Consider the following 26,900-nt stretch of genomic DNA (forward strand, 5'->3'; position numbering starts at 1 on the left):
TTTTTAATGGCTGGTGTAATCTAAGCTGGATCTTAAAGGACAAGTAGTATTTGCATCAGAAAATAAGCAACAGTGTATTCCAGATAAAGGCAACAGCTTGTCTAAGGTCTAAAAGTTCAAGAATACAAGGCAGTTTCTAGAGGAGCTGGTTGAGACTTTGCTCCATGCCTTAGATTATATGGCTTGCATGCCTACCGTGCATATGGCCATATGGCTATGACATTTCCAAAATGTTCTGGCGTATCCCTACTGAGAAACGTATAACTGTACATAGAATTTTCCACCTCTCTTTGGGTTAGAAACAAGAGCTTGCCTACATTATAATGAGGAGGGTGTGTAATCACAGAGTTATTTTACAGCTGTCAGTGGCACCACTGATCATAACAACTACTGACATTTATTTTCATTTTTATAGCTTAAAATCACTGATGAATGCATTATCTCCTTTGAGCCACAATCTTTATTTTTTTTCTGTGAGGAAACTGAGATTATGGGAGGGCCCAGAGCCTAAAATACCAAAGCCACATTAAAGGGAAAGTCAAGATATTCTGGCCTGCTAAGAGTAAAAAGAGGAAGAGAAAATGAGTACATGATCATTGAACAGTTTAGACATTGCTAACTAAATTGGGATGTACACATGAATCAAAGTTCATCTCACACAAAAAGAATAAAATGGATAAAGTTAACTACTGTCACCAATAATATGAAAGCAAAGTTGAATTTTTTCCTGAAGAGCTGAAATAAGCCTATTATTGACAGGAATAGCCCATTTTAAATACCTTGTATTGATAACAGAGAAGAGTACTTAGGAAACAGTTTCTAAATAGCTTTTTTGTTGTTTGCTTTTTTAACAATGTAAAAAGATTAAAATTTAAATTGTGTCTTTCCAAAACAGAGGACTTCTCAGATTATATAAGTAAGCAGCTAAACAGAAACTTAATTTCTAATTTAAAATGTGATTAGTGGCCAGTAAAGTCATGTTTAAAATGGAAAGATAGTTTTCCTAATGTCCTTCAAAGAAGATGACTTATTTTGTTCTTGACTTTGACCCCATCTGACCAAGTGCTCAGAATTTTTCAATATGAACCATACTGTATACCATTTACAAGAAAAGGAATACAAATTAGCCTGGTGAGCAGCAAAATAGGCAATTTTTTGAAATCGGATTTGTGTTAACCTGCAATCAAATGTAATTTCCATTTTAATACTTATACATTCTTATATTGTTATGAACCTATTCTTAACACGGGTTTTATTTTCTTTGTTTCTCTCCTCCCTCACTTCTGTGAAATACAGAAGGGAAAGGATGTTATTCACACATTTGTACCCCCACTAACTGGTGTTACAGTACATCTGGCTTCCACTGGAGAGCCCCTGACATCGCAGGGAACGGTGATCAAAATTCCACACACTAGCTTCAAGCTGGGGGCTCGTAGCTACTGCAGCATTGAAAGGGAATCTTTTCCTGGCTTCTTTAAAATAAGCATGGTGATGGGATGGTTTAAGGGAAGAACACCTCTCAAATCACATGACCACTGCTACGCTTTCGTGTGTCCTGCTTTCTTCATAACAGCTTGGCACTACATTCTTTCCCTGTATCTTAATGGGCTTGTGTGTGTACAAGTGGGGTGGAGGGTGGGGAGGTAAATGGATGGTTATACATTATGCATGCATCTTTCACTGTTAAAGCAATGTGCCTTCCCTTATATGTCACAAATTATGGTCACAGATTAAATCTTCTGTGTCTTGAGATATTGGGCCATCTCTCTCTTTTTGGTGTGAGATTCATGTGTTTGGGTGTGTTTTGATGTTTACACCCTCAATTGTTCTTCATGTTGCATTTAACGTAAGTTGAAATGTTCTCCCATAAGAGTTAGCTTTTCATGTTGGGCTGAAAAAGTCTTCATTTCTGTGTAGCAATTCATGTTATTATAACCTATGGCTTTCAATTGTACCTCCCATAATGAAGAGCTGACTTTAAACACTGTGCTATTCTTGTTATGACCTAAGCATAAGGTAAGTGATTTCTCTAACTGTATCTAAAGATTGTTGTTGTTTGTTAAAATTTCTTCGCTTTTTTTAAGGCATTTTCACTTTTGTTCCTTACATTTATTATGTGCTCTCCCTTCTGTTTTTCTGTTTCACATCTTAAGATTTCCTAATGGACGATGTGATCTTCAGCAAAAATTATATTACACATGTAAACACATGTTGAAATGAATTATTTGATGTCTCAAAACAATCTTGATTAGTAAATGAATATACCCTATGTTTTCATTAAGTCCTTCATGTTTTTTATTTTCTCCATTGACTTTAATATAATATGCTGTTCCTACATGTTATTTTAGTTTTGATTCCAGTTGAAAGGGGAATTATTTGTCAATACTGTAAAGTCAGATGTTAACTGAAGTAAAATAACATGATCCAGTAGAATAAAGTAGAAGGTAATCAGATGCCATACCTTTTATTTGTAATCCCTGACAAATTTAACGTTAGGCCAAAAACTGTTTTATTTTGCTTTCCAGACTTTCCTTTTTTTCCCATAGAGTAAAGCCAGGGTAACATAAAGAAAAAAACGAGAAGCCATAAAACTTGAGACAGATCTGTGTTACCTTCTTTATAGTCCATAAGAACAGTAGTTGTTTCTCAAGTGTATCATTTCAAGTGTATGCCATTACATTGTGAGTTAAGTAAAATTTTCATTTTGAAATTGTATAAAATTAAGTACATATTATAAAGAGAACTAGTTTCATGGTGCAAGAGAAAAAGTTATTTGCTACATGCATAAATAATAAACAACATTTTTAAATTTTTCTTTTCTTCAGTGGTGTATAGGTTGATTGATTGATTGATTTATACACACACACATACTCAAGATCACTAAAGGAATTCTTATAATCATTGATATTAAAGTGATTCTCCCCAAATCTGGTTCAAATAGCCAATGTAATATAAATGGGAAAGCATTGATTATACTGCTGTTGGCAATTTATGAACCTTGATAAACGCTCAGATTCAGGGAATTGAATTGTTTTCATCATCCAAATTTCTCCACCAAAGCTGTTTGAAATATGTAGTTCTAAACTGAGGTGCCACAAAGCAACACTTGGGTTTCTTTATTCAATTCATGTTATGAATGATTTTGCTTGTTAATTTTTTAAGTTACCTAGGGAACGGGAGAGGGTATTTTGTTGTTGTTTTGGTTTGGTTTGGGTTTTTTTGGTAAAGCCAACTAGTTCTTCACCACCATTTCCATTATATACATTAGAAAATGTATATAAGAGGCATTATATAAATCTGTTGGAACATTTTATGAGACAATTTGAACTACTCATCTGAACTGCTCTGTTCATTGTAAATCTCTTGTTTCTATCCATACACTAGCTCCACTCTAGATTGGAAGGGCTTAAAGATGAACTCTGGAGGAATAGAGGCTACGACTTAAGAGTAACTATTACTGATCAAAGGAGCCACTTTCCATTCGCAAACATTGCTTTGCGCTATGGGTTTGGGCTCCTTCTGTTTCTACATCTTGTTGAATGAAGACTTTCTTGACTTCCATTTGACTTCTTTGAACTCTGTTTTTGTCTTTTAACATTTCCCCCTTTCTTTTCCTTCTCTCTCCCAGATTTTTCTCTCACTCTTCTAGCTTTCTCTTGTGTTCTTTGAATCACTTTTTGAAATGTAGTTTCTCTCTTTATTAAGCTTGTCTATTGTCTGTTAGTGTGTGTTTCTTTTCTTTAAGGCTGTAGTGGTATAGTTACACTTATGTTCATTCCATAGTATAGCAACTTGCTTATTTATTTTGCAGCAAGTTCATTAGTCATTCTTACCCTCTTGGTATGAATTTTTAATGAGAAATAGCAGAACATTCTGCATTTACATATTGTCCCCTTCTGTAATTCCATACTTTATTTTCCATTGTTTAGATTTACACCCTCAAACCTCTCTCTCTTTTCTTTTCCTCATTCTTGTGTCTTCTTCCCTGTATTATTTTCTTTAAGCAGTCATTGATTTATTTCCCATTTGGTCCAGAATTGTACTTAAATAAGACTTCTGAGTAAAAGAATATAAGAATATTATCTTCAGACTAGCTTTTTCCTTCTAGTATGTTTAAAACTAGTTGAACAATCTGGGCCAAAAGAGAATAACTAACATTTGGAATTATTTTTCCTTTTTTTTTTTTTTTTTTTTTTTTTTGGTGTGTGTGTGTGTGTGTGTGTGTGTGTGTGTGTGTGTATTTTTCTTGTATGTATGTTTGTGACTTTTTTATTGCCGTTTTTTTAAACATTAACAATTGTTTTTTTCAGGGAAGGACAACCATAACCCACCCTAAGTTGCAACATTCCTTTCATAAGTTGTTTCATTATGATAGTAGATTGTGTTGAACTATAGAAATTAATTTGTTGTGTATATATCCATTTGTGGCAAGCTGCTGTGGAATGGGAAGCAGAGGTCTGGAGCTTAAATACAGTTTCTTTTGAAATTAACAACATGTTAATGACATGTACCATGCTCCTTGAATGTAACAGTTTTATCACATTTAAAAGAATGTTTCACATTGACTTAAACATTTGAGTCAAAGCATAAGGGTTTCTGATTGATAAATTCTATATACACCTAAGAACTGGTAAATAAATTTGTTCAATTTCATTGATTTTCAACAGAAGCATATTTCATAATCAATATTATAACTATGATAAATTATGATAATCAGTAACAGGTTATCAGAATCAAATGTAAATGTTATATAAGGATCAATAAGTAACAGGTTATCAGAATCAAATGTAAATGTTATATAAGGATTTCTCTATTTTCCTCCCATTAATTTATATACATACTAAAAAATTACTATAATGGAATACTTAGTTACAACTTAATTACTTGAATTTTATTATTATTCTAGTCAAGAGATATACTGAATGCCTTACTATTAAGGGCCAATATTTACAACTAAATATACAGTAACAAATTTCCATATACCGATTTTAAATACAAATGAATAAAAAATCACCTTTGGTTTATCTCTGTGTAATTTACAATATTGTACCCCGAATTTTTTTCTGGAAGTCAGTTCTTTCTTTAAGGAAAAGATAAAGAAAAAAGATGAAACAAGTATAACATTTTTACTAACATGTTATGACATCTGAAATACTAATATATAAAGCCTTTGCTCCTAGACCTCAGGAGCTTGCCCATTAAATATGCATATCTGCCTATTCATGCTATAAACCCTAAATTACTGAGTTTATGCTCTTTCTACAGGTCCAGTCCAGGTGCAGCAGCAAGGAGAACATTCTCAGAGCCAGTAAGTATTTTACCATTTCTGGTGGGCTGCTGAACTAGAGCTTATAAAGCTAAAAATGATATTTTGGTGAAAAAAAAGAAGAAAAGCAATGGGGAATATTTATGTGACAAATATGAATATTAGGGCTTTTACCTTCTAAAAATATTGCCAGTATCAATACATTAATAAATATTTCCCTTAATCTAATTGTTTTTGCAAGCTGACACCAGAACTTTGATGCACTCCTAGGAGGGTAGGAATGAGCTCCTCTGTGACTCTGAACCTCTCTTTAATTGTTCCACTGCCAAAAGTTATTTGAAAACAAACTAACTGAAAATAATAATAATAATATTGAAAATTCCTGAACAGAGACTAATTCTGAAAAAAGAATATGTGGCTCCCAAGAGGGTACATCATACTCATTTTGTGAATATGAATTCCTGACATATAATAACTTCACAGGCAGCATGTGTTAGAACATAGAACCTTAAACCAAGAGTAAAGAATGCTCAATTTATTTATTGGTTTGATCACTAATAGCATTAACTCAGGAGTCATTTAACTCTGTATATCATTCATTTTTCTGTCTTATAAAAAGGAACTATAATAGGTTTTCCTTATCTGTACCTTTGAAATGATGTCACATTGAAAATCGTGTCTTAAAAGATTTGGGATCCTAAGAAAAAAGTGCTATATAAATGCTAATGGTTTTATTATTGTTCTCTATATCTTAATAGCTTAATGACATCATTCCATCTTCTTCCTGATCTTTATCAAGAGAAGTACAGGGGAATCATACTGAAATAGGCCTACTGATACTCATACCACTGGGAGTTTTAGCAAATTGAATGATTTCTATTTCTAGCAGTATGTCAGCATTATTTTTGTGTTATACTCCTGGTTATGCTTTATTACAGTGAAAGGATACAGATTAACATCAGCAAAGGCAAAAAGATACATAGGGCAGAGTCCAGGAGAAACCAGGTGCAAGCTTCCAGTTGCCCTCTCCCAGTGGAGCCATATGGACATTGCTTATTTCTCCCAGCAGCAATGTATGACAGCATGCATCAAGTATTGCCAACCAGGGAAGCTCACTGAGCCTTAATGTTCAGGGTTTTTATTGGGGTTGGGTCACATGGCCATGGAGTGCTCATGTGGCTGATCTTTATTTCACAATAAAAAAATAGAGACCTTCACAAAGGTAAAAATTCATGGGGTTTTTTTGTGTAAATTTTTCCATTTTTGTTTTGTAAATCTGTTATCTTAGCTCCAAACCCTTGGGCAAACACAATTATTGCTTGCCCAAGACCATTATATTGGCAAGGCGCAGTGGCTCACACCTCAAAAAAATAAATTCCTCTGAGCCCCTTTGAACCTCCAATTTAGGGTATGGGGAGTGTTTCCAATTGTTACAGTGAGATAAGTCTCGCATTAGATTGCACTTTGATTTCTTTTCTTTGAGCTCCCTAGTTGCCAACTTTATTTTGTGTCCTAGGAGTAAGGAATCCTTTTTAGGACTCCTTTGATAATCTAACTAAATTTGAAAATGCATTTATCCTTGGTAAAAATCTGTCTTATTACCAATAACACTACTATTTGTCTCTGTCTGTCCTTGTCATTTTTTGTTGTATCTCTGTAAGGGGTACGTTCATAAGGAAAAACATAGACATAGGCCTCAGTAAGTATTTTGCAAGCTGGCCCTGAAAACCAAGTTTCAGGTTTCTTGTAAGACTGGTGTCCTTTAGATAAACTTTACCCTGGTCATTGATCAACCTATGAGAACCTTCCTTGTTCTCTTTCTGTTTTGTTAGTGAGAGTCTTGCTATGGAAGAATTATAATAGGCACCCTGAGGAATTTTTGATATGAACAAAATTGTTTATTTAAAAGGAGCCTGAGAATAAAAAGGAAACAAAATTGCAAACAACTAATGAGCTAGTTTTTTATTGGTTTGAGGAAATATCCCAAATAAATTGAGATTCCAAAAGTACTTCCATAAGAAATTCCTTGGCCAAGGCAAAATAAAATGTAATAAACTTAAAATAATGCCTCTTTTATATCCCTCAAAACCAAATCTTGGCCCTAATTAAGAAGATACCTGGGTCTCACTGGCTATAGCAGGCAATGAGTTTGCAACTTTTCTGAAATTGCCATGCCATTATATGACTTAACCAAGTCCTTAGAAACTGAACCTCTTTCGTGGCCACCAAATGTGAACAAGCTCTCACAACCCCTTGCCTTGCTATATCCATCAATCCCAAATGATTACATCAGGATCTTTATCCAATCTTAATGAAGCTCCTATATTGAAAGATCTACTTTGGACCAAACTTCAAAATCTCATAAATATCCTGACTTTCCTTTCTGTGACTCTGACTCTAAGACTAAGTCTTTGTTGAAGTGACATTTTTCCTTTCTAGAGTCAAACTCCCTATATTAAAATCTCAATTTCTCTACTTATTTGCTGTGTGAACTTGAACAAGTGCTCAGTATCTCTATGCCTCACTTTCCTGATCTGTAAAATGTGGTAATAACTTGTTCAGAAAGGGCAGAAATTGTAAAGAATAAAATAAATAAATTTTAAAATGTGGTAATAAGATGGTCTGCCTTATAGATTGTTACAAGGATTAAATAGTATAATGCTAGGTACATAATAATCACTCAGTAAATGTTAGCTGATATTATTGTTACTATTACTACTAATACTACCAATTACCATTATTTTCTTGATAATGATGATGATAATAAAATAGGTTACTTTTTATTGAACGTTACTGTGTATTAAATACTTTTCTACATGGTTCATCCCACTTAATCCTCACACACAACAACAAATCCTGTGAGTAAAATTCTATTAATTTCTACATTAAATAGATAAGGAAATTAAAGATTCCAGAGTTAAATAAGTTGCTTGTGTATATGGTAAATGGTATATGAGTTGAAGCCAGTATTTCAGACCTTGATTTTATAGCCCACATTTTTTTTTGTTTGTTTGTTTTGTTTTGTTTTTGAGACGGAGTCCCGCTGTCGCCCAGGTTGGAGTGCAGTGGCGCGATCTCGGCTCACTGCAGGCTCCGCCTCCCGGGTTCACGCCATTCTCCTGCCTCAGCCTTTTGAGTAGCTGGGACTACAGGTGCCCGCCACCTCGCCCGGCTAATTTTTTGTATTTTTAGTAGAGATGGGGTTTCACCGTGTTAGCCAGGATGGTCTCGATCTCCTGACCTCGTGATCCGCCCACCTCGGCCTCCCAGAGTGCTGGGATTACAGGCGTGAGCCACCGCGCCCAGCCTTATAGCCCACATTTTTAACCAACATGCTGTGCTACCTAATTAATTTCAATAAGGCCTTCAAAACCCGATTCAATATTGTGCAAAATATCTAAGCAATAGGTAAGAATAGAAATTGATAGCTGGTATATCCGTGGGTACTTATAAACAAATATCTGATTATCAGTGCCAAAATTGTTTTATTACCACGTGTTATCAGGATGATATGACACTATTGTCTTCTGTCATCTTTCCACCTATAATTCATTTCCGTCAACCACTTTATTTTTAATAAAGCAAACTTTTGTTATTTTTACGAATAACTGGTTTTATGCAAGAAATCAAGTAAAATAAAAAAATTTTACAGATGAGAATTTATATTTCAGCACTGTAGGACAGCGTTTTAATAGCTTTCTTTCTGCCCCACCCCGAGACAAAGTCTTGCTCTGTCACCCAGGATGGAATGCAGTGGCACGATCTCTGCTCACTGCAACCTCCACCTCCCAGGTTCAAGTGATTCTCCTGCCTCAGCCTCCTGAGTAGCTGGGACTACAGGCTTGTGCCACCATGCCCAGCTAATTTTTGTATTTTTAGTAGAGACAGGGTTTCACTATGTTGCCCAGGCTGGAACTTGAACTCCTGACCTCGTGATCAGCTGCCTCAGCCTCCCAAAGTGCTAAGATTACAGGCATGAGCCACGGTGCCCAGCCTTAATTGTTTTCTTGATGTACTTTGTTCAGCCTGTGTTTTATCGGACAAGTGGTACATTTTCCTGGGATTAACTTTTCTAGATTTTTTTAGTATATTTTAATGGAATTCAGAATTTTTATTGATATATAATATTTGTACATATTTATGGAGTACAGGTGATATCTTGATACATGCATAGAATTTGTAATGATCAAGTCAGGGTATTTGGGATATCCATCACCTCTTGAGCATTTATCATTTCTTCATGTTGGGAACATTTCAAATCCTATATTATAGTTATTTTGAAATATACAATACATTGATGTTAACTATAGTCACCCTACTGTACTATCAAATATTAGAACTTATTCATTCTATATAACTGTATGTTTGTACCTTTTAGCCAACTTTTCTTTATCCCCCACACCATCCTTCCCAGCCTCTGATAATATCACTCTGCTCACTGCCTCAGTGAGGTCAACTTTTTTAACTCCCACAGATTAATGAGAACTTGCAACATCTGTCATTCTGTGCCTATCTTACTTTCACTTAACATGCCTTCCAGTTCCATCTGTGTTGCTGCAAATGACAGAATTTCTACTATTTTAAATAGTAGTCCATTGTGTGTATATACCACATTTTCTTTATCCAGTTATTTATTGATGGACACAGTTTAATTCTATATCTTGGCTATGGTGAACAGTGCTTCAGTAATCATGGGGGTACAGGCATCTCTTTTGATATGCTGATTTCCTTTCCTTTGGATATATACCAATATAGCAGAATTGCTGAGTTATATGGTAGTTCTATTTGTAGTTTTTTGAGGGAGTCCATAGTGTTTTTTATAATGTCTTACTAATTTACATTCCCACCAACAGTGTATAAGAGTTCCCTTTTCTCCACATCCTTACCAGTATGTGTTAGTTTTTGTTTTTTTATAGTAGCCATTCTAACTGGAGCCGGATTATATTTCATTATGGTTTTGATTTGCATTTCTCTGATGATTAGTGATTTTGGGCATTTTTTCATATACCTATTGGCCATAGGTATGTCCTCTTTTGAGAGATGTCTATTCAGCTAATTTGATTACTTTTTAATGGAATTATTTGGGTTTTTGCTGTTTAGTTGTTTGAATTCCTTGTATGTTGTGGATATTAGTCCCTTGTCTGATGAACAGTTTGCAAGTATTTTCTTCCATGTTGCAGGTTGACTCTACTCTGTTGATTGTTTCTTTTGCTGTGCAGAAGCTTTTCAGTTTGATATAGTCTCATTTGTCTGTTTTTCTTTTGTTGTCTGTACTTTTGAAGTCTTAGCCAAAAAATATTTGCCTATACCAGTGTCCTAAAGTGTTTCTTCTGTGTTTTCGTCTAGCAGTTTTATAGTTCTCGTTCTTATGTTTAAGTATTTAATCTATTTTCAGGTGATTTTTGTATATAATAAAAGATAGGCGTCTAATTTCATTTTTCTGCATATGGCTATCCAGTTTTCCCAGCACCATTTACTGAGGAAGACACCTTTTCTCTGATGCATGTTCCTGATGCCTTTGTCAAAAGTTAGTTGGTTCCCTATTCTGTTTCATTGATCTATATGTCTGGCTTTATACAAATACCATGCTGTTTTGCGTACTACAGCTTTGTAGCTGCTATTGTTACAATTACTACTAGTACTACTAGTACTACTAGTAATACTATGATTAGTATACTGGTGGTACTTCTGGTATTATCATTATTCTTTTTTTTTTTTTTTGAGATGGAATTTTGCTCTTGTTGCCCAGGCTGGTGTGCAATGGCACAGTCTTGGCTCACTGCAACCTCTACTTCCCGGATTCAAGTGATTCTCCTGCCTCAGCCTCCCAAGTAGCTGGGATTACAGGCATGCGCCACCACACCCAGCTAATTTCGTATTTTTAGTAGAGATGGGATTTCACCATGTTGGCCAGGCTGGTCTTGAACTCCTGACCTCAGGTGATCCACCCGCCTCAGCCCCCCAAAGTGCTGGGATTACAGGCGTGAGCCACTGCGCCCAGCCTTATCATTATTCTTTAGCGTAAAGGCACTGTCTTAAAAGATCTACTCATTTAGTGAAGATACATTAACTAGTTGGAATAACAAATTAAGCTTTAAAATACACTAGTCTTACGTAAATTTATCAGATAATTTGGCTGCCACCTCTGAGAGCAGAGTTTTAAGAAAATGGATGCATTTAGGACTATGATTAGGGTATAAGAGGAAGGGAAAGCCTAAAGGAAGGCATGTCAAGCTTGGGTACCTTTATAAATCACTCCCTCCTTAATGAAGTAATTATCTTTCTTGGCACTTCTGTCTCCTAGTGTTCCTTTTAAACTATCTGTTTGCATTTTCTCCAGCTTCTTTGGTAGCTCTTTTTTTTTTTTTTTTTGGCCCAGTCATTAATTATCAGTATTATTCAGACTTCTCTCATAGATCTTCCATTCACACTCTATATTATGCATGAGCAAGACCATCTATTAACAAGTCTTTCAAGTAAACCAAATCTATAACTCCAATCCATATCTTCTTCCTAAACTTCAGTTTTTTTTCCAATTGTCTGTTGTAGATCTTTTCTTAAATATTACACAAGTATCTCATACTCAACGTGACTAAAACTAAATTTATCATCTTAATTTACTCTTCTTCCATATTTCAAGGAGTAACATCACTAGCCACTGATTTGTCCAAACCAGAAATCTTTAGTGTTTATTATTCCTCATCCTACAAGCATTTTTATCATTCTAAAATACAAATCTAAACCTATCATACTCCTTTAATAACATTAACCCTTAAATGGCTCCTTATTATTCTTGTGTAAAGGCCCAACTCCTTAAAATTGCTTACTATTGGCTTCTGCTTATCTCTAGTTTTACCTGGAATTCAGTGCACCAGCCATATGAACATTTCAATTTGCAAATAGTTCCCTCTTTCCCAAAATGCTGATTTCTCATTTCTTCCAAAACCTGGATAACTCCTACTTATCCTACAGTTCTTTCAGGAAGCCTTCTATCACCTCCCAAATCTGAGCAAAGTGCCCCTCCCAAGTTCTTTTCTAGTATACTGTAGTTTCCCTACTTTATTGCAAGAGTATTTACAGTGTAGTGCTTTTCTGTCTTCTCCACTGTCCTCTCTACTCCACCCTAAGCATCTTGCAAGACCTCATCTATCTTGTTCCCTGATACCATTACCAGAATCTATCACCATGACTCTCTCTCAATAAGAGTTGATTGGATGACTGCATAAATAAATGAGAGGAAGACCTTAAGCAGACAGAGCAAGCAAAAGACAGCAGAATTGCTAAATAAGAAACCAGTATGGGAACAGAAAAGGAAAATAATGAACATTAGCAAAAACTCTAATATATTTATTGAAAATACTGGGGGTTTTGTTTGTTTGTTTGTTTGTTTGTTTGTTTGTTTGTTTTAACTGCTCCTTCTCTTCAAATTATCTCATGTATCCACTTTGGCCCTTATCCCTTCATTCATTCTCACTACTGCCACCCAGGTTCTCGACTTATTACTACCTCTTGCCTGGAGTGTAAGTCAGACTTTTCAGTCTTATACCCCTTAATTTGTCATAGATGGATAGGTCTTCTGGTTAGTTTTCTTGCATCTTACTATTAAGAAACATGAATTTTTATCTTTTTTATTATTCCCAGGAAAGAGGATTTTGAAATAATCCTTGGAGAAGTATGTTAATTTCTTATGCCTCCTATTTTTAGAAAAAAATTTCTGTTTATCTCTTGCTGCAACCTAATCCCTTATCATCTTGATTGGCATTCACTGGATCTGACAATAGCTGCTTACCATCACTTAGATTACCTTTCTTTATATAACTAAGGATAATTAGCAATTGACTTCCATAAATATTTATTGAGGTACTATTTATAAGCACTATTTTTCTCGACTTTTTTATCTAGTCTAAGTAAACCAACTTATTCAATTTTCCTTGCTATATCCTTATGTAGTTTATTTACTAGGTTCTCGAAATTTAAAAAGAAAAAAATATTTTAGAGATTGTATCTCACTATGTTGCCCAGACTGGATTTGAACTCCTGGGCTCAAGCAATCCTCCTGCCTCAATCTCCTGAGTAGCCATCATGCCTGGCTTTCAAATATAATTTTTTTATTTGTGAAACCTATATTCCCAAAGTACTATTCGCTATTCAATTTAAATTTTGTCTTATTTCTCTTATTTTTCTCGGTTATCACCTTTTTATTTTATATGAAAAGTTGCATCATTCATTACTTTGAGTCAGGCTTTTTACCTTCCTCGTTGTCAACATTATAGCAGGTATTGCTAAGAAACATTAAGTTAATAGATAGGAAGCCCCAACCCTCATATCCTCATAGAGACACCAACTTAAAAGCAATATATGGTCATAATAGCTTCATGAAAACTCCAGAAAAAAGGTTGTTGCAATACCCCCAAGCTGGCACAAAGCCAAGAATAGCCACATTGAAATGGATAAGAACTGTTTTACTTTACCTGTGATAGTCCCTCCTCCAAGTCAGCATAGCTTAGCATGATAAAGAGAAAACACCCTACTCATGGTTTCTTTCTGTGGGGGAAGAGTGGAAACATACATCCAATATTCTAGCTTTTCAGAGGACTGCCCAAATAACTGCCTTCTATCTCACTGCATTGATGGAACTACCACAGTTTGAATGCCTGAGGGCTACTGAAAGCCAGGGAGAGTGGAGGCAGCTTGCTGTAGTACCACAGGGCCTACAGTGCCACACACAGGCACCAGCACCTCTCAGTGCAATCTGGAGAAAGTGCCCAATTCTTGACTTTTCACTCAGGAGGGAGAGAGAAGAGTGGAACATGCATTAGGTGTTCTGACTTTTTGGAGGGCTACCAAGAGAATGGTTTCTCTGTTGCCTCACTGGGGTGGTAACAGAGAGCTGGTGTACTTTGGATGTCTGCGGGCCACTGAGAATAAGGAACAGTGATGGCTTGCTACAGCAGCACCACAGAGCCTCCAGTGCTGCAGACAGACACCATTGAGAGCAAGAGATTGCAAGCTCCTGACAGAGAAACCTGCAAACCTCTCTAATTGGGAAATTACATACACAGACCCAGAGAAGTCACATTCCCCCGCTTTCAAAAAGGTTTCAGAGGCCGCCTCAGAATTTCTAGCCAGGTTGATTGGTGAGAGTGTCCCCTATATAAGGCCAGTCTGTAAAGATTGGGAGACATGGCTGTTTCTCAAATGACTAAAACTCAGCAAAAAATCACAAAGCACACCAAGAAATCAGGATACATGCCCAATCAAAAGATCAAAGTAATTATCTAGAAACCAACCTCAAAGAAACAGAGATTTATGATTACCTGGCAAATAATTCAAAATAATTACCTTTAAAAAGGTCACTGATCTAAGAGAGAACACAAATGGACAACTAAACAAAATCAGGAAACCAATGAATGGACAAAATGAAGATTTCAACACAAAGTTAGAAACTATTAAAAAAGAACCAAAGAGAAATTCTGGAGCCAAAGGATACAATAACTGAATTGAAAAACTCACTAGAGGGGTTCAACAATTACTTGACCAATCAGAAGAGATCAACAGCAAAATTGGAAGACAGGTCATTTGAAATTATTGTTAGAGGAGCAAAAAGAAAAAAAAGGAACAGAAAAGTAAAGCAAAGAAAGCCAAAGAGGCCAGGAGTGGTGGTTCACACCTGTAATCCCAACACTTTGGGAGGCCAAGGCAGGCGGATCACTTGAGTCCAGGGATTCGAGACTAGCCTGGCCAACATGGTGAAACCCCATCTCTACTAAAAATAAAAAAAGTAGCCAGGCCTGGTGGTGCACACCTGTAATCCCAGCTACTCAGGAGGCTGAGGCAAAAGAATCGCTTGAACCCAGGAGGTGGAAGTTTCAGTGAGCCAAGATTACACCACTGCACTCCACCCTAGGCAACAGAGTGAGACCCTGACTCAAAAAAAAAAAGAATGCCAAAAAGATTTATAAAATGCCATTTTGTGGACCAGTGTATACATTATGAGAGTTCCAGGAGAAAAGGGACACCAAACTTATTTGAAGAAATAATGGTCAAAAACTTCCCAAATTTGATGAAAGAAATGTACATCCAGACACTTGAAGTTCAAAGGATATAACTAAGGTGAATCCAAAGAGGCCCACACTAAGACATGTTATAATGAAACTGTCAAAAATCAAGGGCAAAGAGAAAATTTGAAAGGAGCAAGAGAAAAGTAACTCATCATGTACAATGAAGTTCCCATAAGAATGTCATTGGATAAACCTTACAGGTCAGAAGGGAGCAGTACGTTATATTCAAAGTGCTGAAGGAACAAAATCTGCCAGTGAGGAATACTGCATCCAGCAAAACTGTCCTTTCAAAAATGAAAAAAGAAAGACTTTCCCGGGCAAACAAAACCTAAGGGAGTTCATCACAACTAGACCTGGCTTACAAGAAATGCTAAAGAGAGTCCTGCAAGTTGACATGAAAGGACTCTAGACAACAACATGAAAGTTTATGAAAAACACAAAGCTCACTGGTAAAGGAAAATATATATATATACAAATTCAGAATACTATATTACTATAATGGTGGCATGTAAATCACATGTAACACTGTGGGGATGGAAAATGTAAATGAGTAGACTTTTATATATGATTGATAGATTGTTCTGTTTCATGTAAGTCTCATGGTAATTACAAAGAAAATGCTTATAGAAGATACAGAAAAGAAAATGAGAAAGTAATCAAAGCATATCGATAATGCAAAGGAAGACAGCAAGAGGGAAAAAGAGGGACTAAATAGCTACAAGACGGACAGAAAACAACATGTGCCAATAATAAGGCCTTTAAGTGTAATTGGATTAAACTCCCCAGTAAAAAGACAAAGTGAATTAATGGATTAAAGAAACAAGATGCAATTATATTCTGTCTACAAGAGACTCATGCTAGATGTAAAGACACATATAGGCTGAAAATGAAAGGACAGAAAAAGATATTACTTCATGCAAATTATAATCAAAAGAGAGCAGTGGTGGCCATAGTTATATCAGACAAAATATAGACTTTAGGTTAAAAGCTGTCACAAGAGACAAAGAAGAATATTATACTGAAAGAACAGAAATATATAACAATTATAAATTAAAATCCAGCTAACATTAGAGCACCCAAATATAAGAAGTAAACATTGACAGGCGTGAAGGGAGAATAGACAATAACACAATAATGGTAGGAGATTTCAATATTCTACTTTGGATAATGGATAGAACAACCAAAAAGATTAATAAGGAAACAGAGAACTTGAACACTGTTGACCAATTAGATCTAACAGAATATTCCACCCAACAATAGTAAAATACACATTCTTTCCTAGCATACATGGAATATTCTGTAGGATAGACCACATATTAGGCTAAAAAACAAGTCTTAACAAAGTTAGGAAGACTGAAACCTATGAGATCTTAGTGGACTGAAACTAGACATCAATAGCAGTAGGAAAACTGGAAGATACACAAATATGTGAAAATTAAATGAGACACTCTTGAACAACCAGTAGGTCAAAGGAAAAAAAAATGAGAGAAATTAGAAATATCTTGAGGCAAAAACACAACACACCAAAACTTATGAATTGCAGCAAAAGCAATACTAAGAGAGAAGTTTATATTAGTGGCATGTACTTTAATGAGGGGGAAAGACCTCAAATCAGCAACCTAACTTTTTACCTCAAGGAATGAGAAATAGAATAAACTAAATCAAAAGTTAGGAGAAAGAAGGAAATAATAAAGATCAGAGCAGAAATAAACAAAATAGAGAATAAAAATACTAGGAAAAAAAGCAATGAAACTAAGAGTAGGATTCTCTAAAATACCAACAAAATTGACAAACTCTTAGCTAGACAGACAGAAGACTCAAAATAACTAAAATCAGAAATAAAAGGAGACATTGCAACTGATGCTTCGGAAATAGAGATGATAAGAGACTGCTATATACAATTATATGCCAACAAATTGAATCACCTAGAAGAAGTGGATAAATTCCTAGAAACACAACCTTGGTGTTCAGTCACAGTCTTGGTGACTGAATTATGGAGAAATAGAAAATCTAAACATATCTATAACCATTAAGGATATTGAATCAGTAATCAAAAACCTCCCCATAAAGAAAACCTCCCAATAAAGTAAAACCCATGACCAGATGGCTTCACTAGAGAATTCTACCAAGCATTTAAAGAAGAATTGGTACCAGTTCTTCTCAAAATATTCCAAACACTTGAAGAAGAAGGAATACTTCCAAAATAAATTTATTAGGCAACATTACCCTGATACGAATAGAAAAAATACAACAATAAAAAAGATAACTGATAAAAAAAATTGATGCAAAAATCCTCAACAAAATACTAGGAAACCAAATTGGATTATACACTTCAGCCATGTGGGATTTATCCCTGGAATGCAAGGATCATTCAATGCATGAAAATCAATAAATGTAATGTATCACATTAACAGAACATGGAATGAAAATCACATGATCATCTCAAAAGGTGCAGAAAATGCATTTTAGAAAATTCAGCAACCTTTCGTGATATAACAATCAGCAAACTAGAAACAGAAGGAAATTACCTCAATATAATAAAGGTCATTTATGAAAAGCTCATAACATAACATACTAAATGGTGAAAAACTGGAAGCTTTTTTTTTTTAAGATCAAGAACAAAGCAAAGATGCTCATTTTTGCCACTTCTTTTTAGTATAATACTGGAAGTTCTAATCAAAGCAGCTAGGCAATGAAAAGAAAGAAAATGCATCCCAAATGGAAAGAAAGAAGTAAAATTATCTCTGTTTCCAGATGACATGATCTTATGTAGAAAACTCTGAAAATTCCACTTATATACATACATGCACACACACACACACACACACACACACACACACACACACAGAGAAACACTAACTGTTAAAGCTAATACAAGAAGCCAGTAAAATTGCAGGGGTACAAAGTCAACAATAAAAAATCAATTGCATTTTTATACACTAACAGTGAATGATTAACAATCTGAAAAAGAAATTAAGAAAATCCCATTTACAATAGCATCAGAAAGAATAAAATACTTAGGAATAAACTTAATGGAGAAAATGAAAGACTTGTGCAGTGAAAACCACAAATCATTGCTGAATAAAGTTAAAGACACAGTAAATGGAAAGATACCTGGATTCATGGATGGAAAGACACAATATTGTTAAAATATCCATACTACCCAAAGGAATCTACAAATTCAAGGCAATCCCTATCAAAATACCACTGACATTTTTTATAGAAATAGAAAGTACCACCCTAAAATTCATATAGAATTTCAGAGGTCCTGGGACAACCAAAATAATCTTGAAAAAGAAGAACAAAGCTGGAAGTCTTACATCTCTTGATTTCAAAACATATTACAAAGTTACAGTAATCAAAAAAGTCTGGAACTGGCATAAAGACAGACATATAAACTAATGTAACAGAATATAGAGCCCAGAAATACATGTTCGTGTATATGGTCAAATGATCTTTGAAGATGGTGCCAAGACCATTCAATGGGGAAAGGGCAGTCTCTTCAATAAACGTTGTTGGGAAAACAGCTATTCTCTTTGCAAAAGAACGAAGACAGACCCTTATCTTATACCATGCACAAAAATTACCTCAAAATGGATTAAAGATCTAATAGTTAAGTCTAATAGGTAAGACCTGAAACTATGAAACTCACAGAAGGAAATATGCAGAAAAACTTTATGACATTGAAATGGGAAACGATCTCTTGGATATGATACCAAAAAGCACAGACAACTTATACAAATGTAGACAAATGAGACTACCTCAAATTTAAATATTTTCTGCATCAAAGGAAACAATCAGCAGAGTAAAATGGCAACAACAGAATGGGAAAAAATAATTGCAAATCATATATCTGATAAGGGGTTAATATCCAGAATATATAAAGAACCCCTACAACTCAGCAACAAAAAAAATCAAATATCCCAATTTAAAAATGGGGAAAGGACTTGAATAGACATAACTCAAAGAAGATATACAAATGGCCAACACACATATGAAAAGCTGCTCAATGTCACTAATCATCAGGGAAATACAAATTTAAATCACAGTGAGATACCACCTAACACCATTAGGATGACTACTAAAAAAAAAAAAAAATAGAAAATAACAAGTATTGGTGATCATAGGGAGAAATTGGAACCCTTGTGCCCTGTTGGTAGGTTTGTGAAATGTTGCAGCTGCTACAGAAAATAGTATGGCGTTTCTTCAAAAAATTAAAAATAGAACTTTCATATGATCTGTCAGTCTCACTTCTGGGTATATATCCAAAAGAATTGAAAATAGCATCTCAAAAAACTACTTACACACCTGTGTTCATCACAGCATTATCTACAATAGCCAAGATATGAAAGTAATCTTAATGTTCATTAACAGATGAGGGGATAGGCAAAATATGGTCTATTTATACAATGAAATATTATTGAGCCTCCAAAAAATAAGGAAATCCTGTCATATGCTACAACATGGATGAACCTTCAGGACATAATGCTAAGTGAAATAAACTAATCACCAAAAACTAATACTTCATGGTTCTACTTATATGAGACATCTAAAGTAATTGAACTCATAGAAAGTAGAATGGTGGTTGCCAGGGGCTGGGAGGAGAGGGAAATAGGGAATTAGCCAATGGATGTAAAGCTTCATTCACACAAAATGAGAAAGTTCTAGCAATCAGTTGTACAATAATATGCATATATTGTTAATTCTGTTAAATTTTTTAACATAAATACTTAAAAATTGTTTAAGAGGGTTACAAAATGTATATAGATTAAGCATCTGGAAAATGTATTAAAAAGTTAAGTTAATCATTGATCATAGAATTATCCTGGAATGGACATATATTGTCCTTCAGTGTCTCTTTTTTGTGATGTGTATATGTTACCATTCTATGTGTAACAAGTGAATTACTGATTCTCATTATTAGATTCACCACCTACATACCAATGGCTTTCTATTTTAAGCCTGACTTCTCTTCCAAGCTCCAGATTCTCCTTGCTGTTGTGTACTGGAATCACCCTTTGATGTCCTGCTGGCATCTCACATTTCTTTCATCAGAAACCAGATTTAGGATCCTTTCCTCCAAATTATTCCTGTATTGTTCTTTTATACAATTACACTCCCACTTACTCTAATAACTAAATTTGAAATCTCCTCATGATATTACCATCTCCTTCTCAAAGCATAGTCAGTCAGTCATGGAACCCTCTGCTGCAGCTCTTCTAAATATCCTTTTTCCCATTCTTGTTGTAATAGTTCAGGCCTTCTGCATCATTCTCCTTTGGGATTGCAGTAGCATAATAATTGCTCTTCCTATCTTCAGTCTCTTGCTCCCTGACAGTCTTCCATCAGTCAAGTATTACATTTTAAAGTACATACTACTTTTCTACTGAAAATCTTGAATAGTTCTCCATTTTCCATAGTACTAAGCCTCCAGAATTTGTCCTGAACTGAATTGACCAGCCTTATACCTTATATTTCATCCTCTTCACCTCCAACCTCCAGCTTCATTGGGCAATTTCGCATTCTCTAAAAGTACTTTCAGATCTTTGTAATTTTGTTCATATTTTCTCCAGTTTCATATGTTCTTCTCCCTTTTCTCATTGTTTAAAGATCCCCCCTGTAAAGCCTTATAGTTTGTCCCATCAGAATTAGCTGTTGCTTTTTCTTTGTTATCTTACATAGTGTTTTGTTTGTACTTTAAAACATAAGCATACACATAGTCTGTTATTTTTTCCTTAAAACACAGCCTGATTTGTGTGTTCCTTGAAAGACTGTGTAAGATAGGAATCTCATCTGGTTTATTTCAACATACTCCCAGGCCAGGTGCAGTGGCTTGTGCCTGTAATCCCAGCACTTTGGGAGGCCAAGGCAGGAGGATCACTTGAGCCCAGGAGTTCAAGACCAGTCTGGGCAATATAGTGAGATCTCATCTCTATCAAAAATTAAAAAATTAGTTGGATGTGGTGGCACATGCTGTAGTCTCAGCTACTCAGGAGGCTGAGGTGGGAGGATTCCTTGAGCCCAGGAGGTGGAGGTTACAGTGAGCTGAGATCAAGCCACTGCATTCCAGCCTGGGCAACAGAGCAAGACCCTGTCTCAAAACAAAACAAAACCTCACTCACTGTGTTTAACAAAGTGCCCTATATTGACCAGAATAAAGTTTGAAGTTGTAAGTAGTGTTTGCTTATCTATACAACCGTTCTACTTTGTCAGTCTATATAATCTAGACTGTACTGTGTGCATAACATCTTTGGACCTTGATGTTAAGGCCTTTTTTTCTTCCTCAAAGAGGTGATAATCTAGTTAAGAAAATGGACATGTATATAAATAAGTATAATTACTGTGAGATATGTGGTTAATATAATATGCAATTAGAAGTCCTAAAAATTGAGTATTTTATAGTACCTCAGTGCAAAAATAGACATACGTGCATTGTTTCAGAAAGGAGAGACTATTGATGAAAGTGATTTTTGAAATTTTGAAATAATTTCAAACTTCAGAAATGTTACAAGAATAGTATAGAGAATTCCTGTATATCTTTCATCCAGACTCCCCCAAATGTTAACATTTTGTCACATTTCCTTTATCATTTCTCTCTATAAATTAATATACATATTATCCCAAACTACTTGTGAGTAAATTGCAGACATGATGCCTCTTTACCCCTAAATAATTTAATGTGTATTTCCTTCCAAAAAAATCTGGAGGGATGGCAAATAAAAAAGACTTTCTCTTACATAACCACAGTACAATTATGAAAATTAGGAAATGAACATTGCCACAATACTATTATGTAATCTTATTCAAATTACATTTTGTCAGTTTTTCTAATAATGTTCTTTATAACAAAGGAGACAACATTCTTCTGATCTGGGATTCAATCCAGAATCATGCGTTACATTTAGTTATCCTGTCTCTGTAGACTCCTTTAATATGGAACAAGTCTTCAAGTTTGTCTTTGTCTTTCATTACCTTTATATTTTTGAAGCATATAGCTCAGTTATTTTGTACAATGTCCCTCAAATTTATATTTTTCTCAGGTTTCTTAATGGTTTAATTCTTGTTATACATTTGGTCAGGAATATCTCAAATGTGATGTTGTATCTTTCTCAGTGCATCTTATCAGGGGGCTCATGATGTCAGTTTATCCTATTACTGGTGATATTAACTTTGATCACTTGGCTAAAAGGGTGTCTGCGAGATTTCTCCACTGTAGTTAATGAGTACAGTTAATAAATATCTTGTAGGGATATACTTTGAGACCAGACAAATATGTTTTGTTTTTCTTGAGGCTTTTACCTTCTAGTCTTAGCATTAACTGATTATTTTTCCCTAAACCAATTATTACTAGATGGTTGCCAAGTGGTGATTTTCTAATTCCAATATTTCTTCATGTAACAGCTGACCTTCTGTTATAAGGAAGAATTTATTCTCAGGCCAGCATATTTTCAAAATGAGAAAGGCATCATAGCTCTACTTTGGGCCTTATTGGTATTTGCCCAAAATACAAACACTTTCTTTTTTTTTATTTTTTTTATTATACTTTAAGTTCTGGGGTACATGTGTAGAAGGTGCACTTTTTTTACATAGGTATACACGTGCCATGGTGGTTTGCTGCACCCATTAACCCATCACCTACATTAGGTATTTCTCCTAATGTTATCCCTCCCCTAACCCCCCACCCCCCAACAGGCCCTGGTGTGTGATGTTCCCCTTCCTGTGTCCATGTGTTCTCATTGTTCAACTCCCACTTAGGAGTGAGAACATGTACTGTTTGGTTTTCTGATATTGTGATAGTTTGCTGAGAATGATGGTCTCCATCTTCATCCATGTCTCTGCAAAGGACATGAACTCATCCATTTTTATGGCTGTATAGTATTCCATGGTGTATATGTGCCACATTTTCTTAATCCAGTGTATCATTGATGGACATCTGGGTTGGTTCCAAGTCTTTGCTATTGTGAATAGTGCCACAATAAACATATGTGTGCATGTGTCTTTACCATAGAATGATTTATAATCCTTTGGATATATGCCCAGTAATGGGATTGCTGGGTCAAATGGTATTTCTAATTCTAGATCTTTGATGAATCGCCACACTGTCTTCCACAATGGTTGAACTAATTTACACTCCCACTAACAGTGTAAATGTGTTCCTATTCTTCCACAACCTCTCCAGCATCTGTTGTTTCCTGACGTTTTAATGATCTCCAACCTAACTGGTATGAGATGGTATCTCATTGTTGTTTTGATTTGCATTTCTCTAATGACCAGTGGTGATGAGCATATTTTCATATGCCTGTTGGCTGCATAAATGTCTTCTTTTGAGAAGTGTCTGTTCATGTACTTTGCCCATTTTTTGATGGGTTTTTTTTTTTCTTGTAAATTTGTTTGAGTTCTTTGTGGATTCTGGATATTAGCCCTTTGTCAGATGAGTAGATTGCAAAAATTTTCTCCCATTCTGTAGGTTGCCTGTTCACTCTTTTTAGTTTCTAAATTTTTTAGTTTCTTTTGCTGTGCAGAAGCTCTTTAGTTTAATTAGATCCCATTTGTCAATTTTGGCTTTTGTTGCCATTTCTTTTGGTGTTTTAGACATGAAGTCTTTGCCCATGTCTATGTCCTGAATGGTATTGCCCAGGTTTTCTTCTAGGATTTTTATGGTCCTAGGTCTTATGTTTAAGTCTTTGATCCATCTTGAGTTGATTTTTGTATAAGGTGTAAGGAAGGTGTCCAGTTTCAGTTTTTTGCATAGGGCTAACCAGTTTTCTCAACAGTATTTATTAAATAGAGAATATTTTCCCCATTACTTGTGTGTGTCAGGTTTGTCAAACATCACATGGTTGTAGATGTGTGGTGTTATTTCTCAGGCCTTCATTCTGTCCCATTGGTCTGTATATCTGTTTTGGTACCAGTATCATGCTGTTTTGGTTACTCTAGCCTTGTAATATAGTTTGAAGTCAGGTAGCGTGATGTCTCCAGCTTTGTTCTTCTTGCCCAGGATTGTCATTGGCTATGTGGGCTCTTTTTTGGTTCCATATGAAGTTTAAAGTAGTTTTTTCCAATTCTGTGAAGAAAGTCAATGGTAGCTTGATGGGGATAGCATTGAATCTATAAATTACTTTGGGCAGTATGGCCATTTTCATGATATTGGTTCTTCCTATCCATGAGCAAGGAATGTTTTTTCCATATGTTTGTGTCCTCTTTTATTTGCTTGAGCAGTTGTTTGTAGTTCTCCTTGAAGAGGTCTTTCACATCCCTTGTAAGTCGTATTCCTAGGTATTTTATTCTCTTTGTAGCAGTTGTGAATGGGAGTTCACTCATGATTTGGCTCTCTGTTTGTCTGTTATTAGGGTATAGAATGCTTGTGATTTTTGCACATTTATTTTGTATCCTGAGACTTTGCTGAAGTTGCTTATCAGCTTAAGGAGATTTTGGGCTGAGACAGTGGGGTTTTCTAAATATACAATCATGTCATCTGCAAACAGAGACAATTTGACTTCTTCTCTTCCTATTTGAATATCCTTTATCGCTTTCTCTTGCCTGATTGCCCTGGCCAGAACGTCCAATATTATGTTGAATAGGAGTGGTAAGAGAGGTCATCCTTGTCTTGTGCTGGTTTTCAAAGGGAATGCTTCCAGTTTTTGCCCATTCAATATGATATTGGCTGTGGGCTTGTCATAAATAGCTCTTGTTATTTTGAGATGTGTTCCATCAATACCTAGTTTATTGAGAGTTTTTAGCAGGAAGGAGTGTTGAATTTTGTCAAAGGCCTTTTCTGCATCTATTAAGATAATCGTGTTTTTTGTCATTGGTTTGGTTTATGTGATGGATTACATTTATTGATTTGCGTATGTTGAACCAGCCTTGCATCCAGGTATGAAGCCGACTTGATCATGGTGGATAAGATTTTTGATGTGCTGCTGGATTCGGCTTGCCAGTATTATATTGAGAATTTTTGCATCGATGTTCATCAGGGATATTGGCTTGAAATTTTCCTTTGTTGTGTCTCTGCCAGGTTTTGGTATCAGGATGATGCTGGCCTCATAAAATGAGTTGGGGGGATTCCCTCTTTTTCTATTGTTTAGAATAGTTTCAGAAGGAATGGTACCAGCTACTTTTTGTGCCTCTGGTAGAATTCAGCTATTAATCCATCTGGTCCTGGACTTTTTTTGGTTGGTAGGCTATTAATTACTGCCTCAATTTCAGAACTTGTTAATGGTTTATTCAGGGATTCAACTTCTTCCTGGCTTAGACTTGGGAGGGTGTATGTGTCCAGGAATTTATCCATTTCTTCTAGATTTTCTAGTTTATTTGTGTGGAGGTGTTTATACTATTATCTGATGGTAGTTTGTGTTTCTGTGGAATTAGTGGTGATATCCCCCATATCATCCTAGCACTTTCAGAGGCTGAGGTGGGTGGATTACCTGAGGTCAGGAGTTTGAAACCAGCCTGGCCAACATGGTGAAACCCCGTCTCTACTAAAAATACAACAATTAGCCAGGCATGGTGACACATACCCGTAATCCCAGCTACTTGGGAGGCTAAGACAGGAGAATTGCTTGAACCCAGGAGGTGGAGGTTGCAGCAAGCCAAGATCGCACCACTGCACTCCAGCCTGGGTGACAGAGACAAGACTCTGTCTCAAAAAAAAACAAAAAATAAACAATAATAATTTGCTCACTTAATATTCCCAGAAACAATGCCTTAGCCCGTGTTTGTTCGTTTTGTTTTGTTGGTATTTTTTCTTTTTCTTATTTCTTTCCAGGTGAAGTAGAATTCACCAATTTTTAGGAAGATGTATATTTTCCCCAGGACATGTTAGCTGGTGTTTTCTTCTGTTGTTGACTAGCACTTTTCTGAATCTCTCAAGGTATAGCAAGAGCCGGTTGATGTAAACTATACTTTATAACATCTTATTTTCCAGAACTCCATGAGTGCTGCTGCTGCTTTTGTTGTTGTTGTTGTTTTAAAAGCATACCCCAGCCACCGTTTATGGCATCAAAAGCATTATAAAATATGTGTAATTATTTCTTGAGTACCCCCTTCCTCCTCCTCCTCCTCCTCCTGTCTCCCTCTCTCTGTCTCTCTCTCTGTCTTTCTCTCTGTCTCTCTCTGTCTCTCTCGTCTCTGTCTCTCTGTTGGTGTGTCTCTGTCTGTCTCTGTCTCTCTCTCTCTGTCTCTCTTGCTCTCCCTCCCTCTCTTTCTTTTTAAAATAAGCTCAGGTAGATCTAATCCATTTCCAAGGCCTGAATTCTTAACTTTAGAAACCCCAGATTTCATCTCCATACAGAATCCTGTACAAAACTGACGAGTTGATTTCTGGACTTGGATGCCTAATAGGTATTACCTATTAATAAAGACCCAACCCTAAAATCTGGGTTTGCTTCTCCCTTGACTCACCTGTGATCCAGACTTACCGTCTCAATAAATTGTACCACTGTTCACCTAGGATTCTGGGAGGATTTTCCCAATCTGTATTTCCCCGTGTCCTAAAGGACCCATGACCAAGCCCTGTCCGTTCTGTCTCAAATATGTATCTCCAAACACTTCTCTCAATTTCCACAACTACCCGC

At 35.7% G+C, this 26,900-nt stretch overlaps 1 protein-coding gene across 23 annotated transcripts in view, besides 1 other annotated feature; it reads left to right on the forward strand.

Annotated features, from left to right (window-relative positions):
- Nucleotides 1-26,900, forward strand: part of GPHN (gephyrin) — a 1,227,209-nt gene that overhangs the window by 510,221 nt on the left and 690,088 nt on the right. For 20 of the 23 annotated variants that reach the window (XM_047430879.1, XM_011536340.4, XM_011536343.4 and 17 more), the window contains one exon: nucleotides 5,266-5,308. In XM_047430879.1, the coding sequence (XP_047286835.1) occupies nucleotides 5,266-5,308 (43 nt within the window). Of the gene's footprint in view, nucleotides 1-3,384; nucleotides 3,448-5,265; nucleotides 5,309-26,900 lie in introns of all 23 variants that reach the window. The other 3 variants (XM_017020913.3, NM_001377514.1, NM_001377516.1) reach the window with 1 other exon arrangement.
- Nucleotides 13,518-14,018: an enhancer, noted in NCBI's record as "H3K27ac hESC enhancer chr14:67498602-67499102 (GRCh37/hg19 assembly coordinates)". NCBI's record gives its function as "activates a minimal SCP1, AML or CMV promoter by ChIP-STARR-seq in primed H9 embryonic stem cells {active_cell/tissue: H9 hESC(primed)}" and the evidence as "EXISTENCE:reporter gene assay evidence [ECO:0000049][PMID:30033119]".

This window comes from Homo sapiens, chromosome 14, assembly GCF_000001405.40.
Source record: "Homo sapiens chromosome 14, GRCh38.p14 Primary Assembly".
Lineage (NCBI taxonomy): Eukaryota > Metazoa > Chordata > Mammalia > Primates > Hominidae > Homo > Homo sapiens.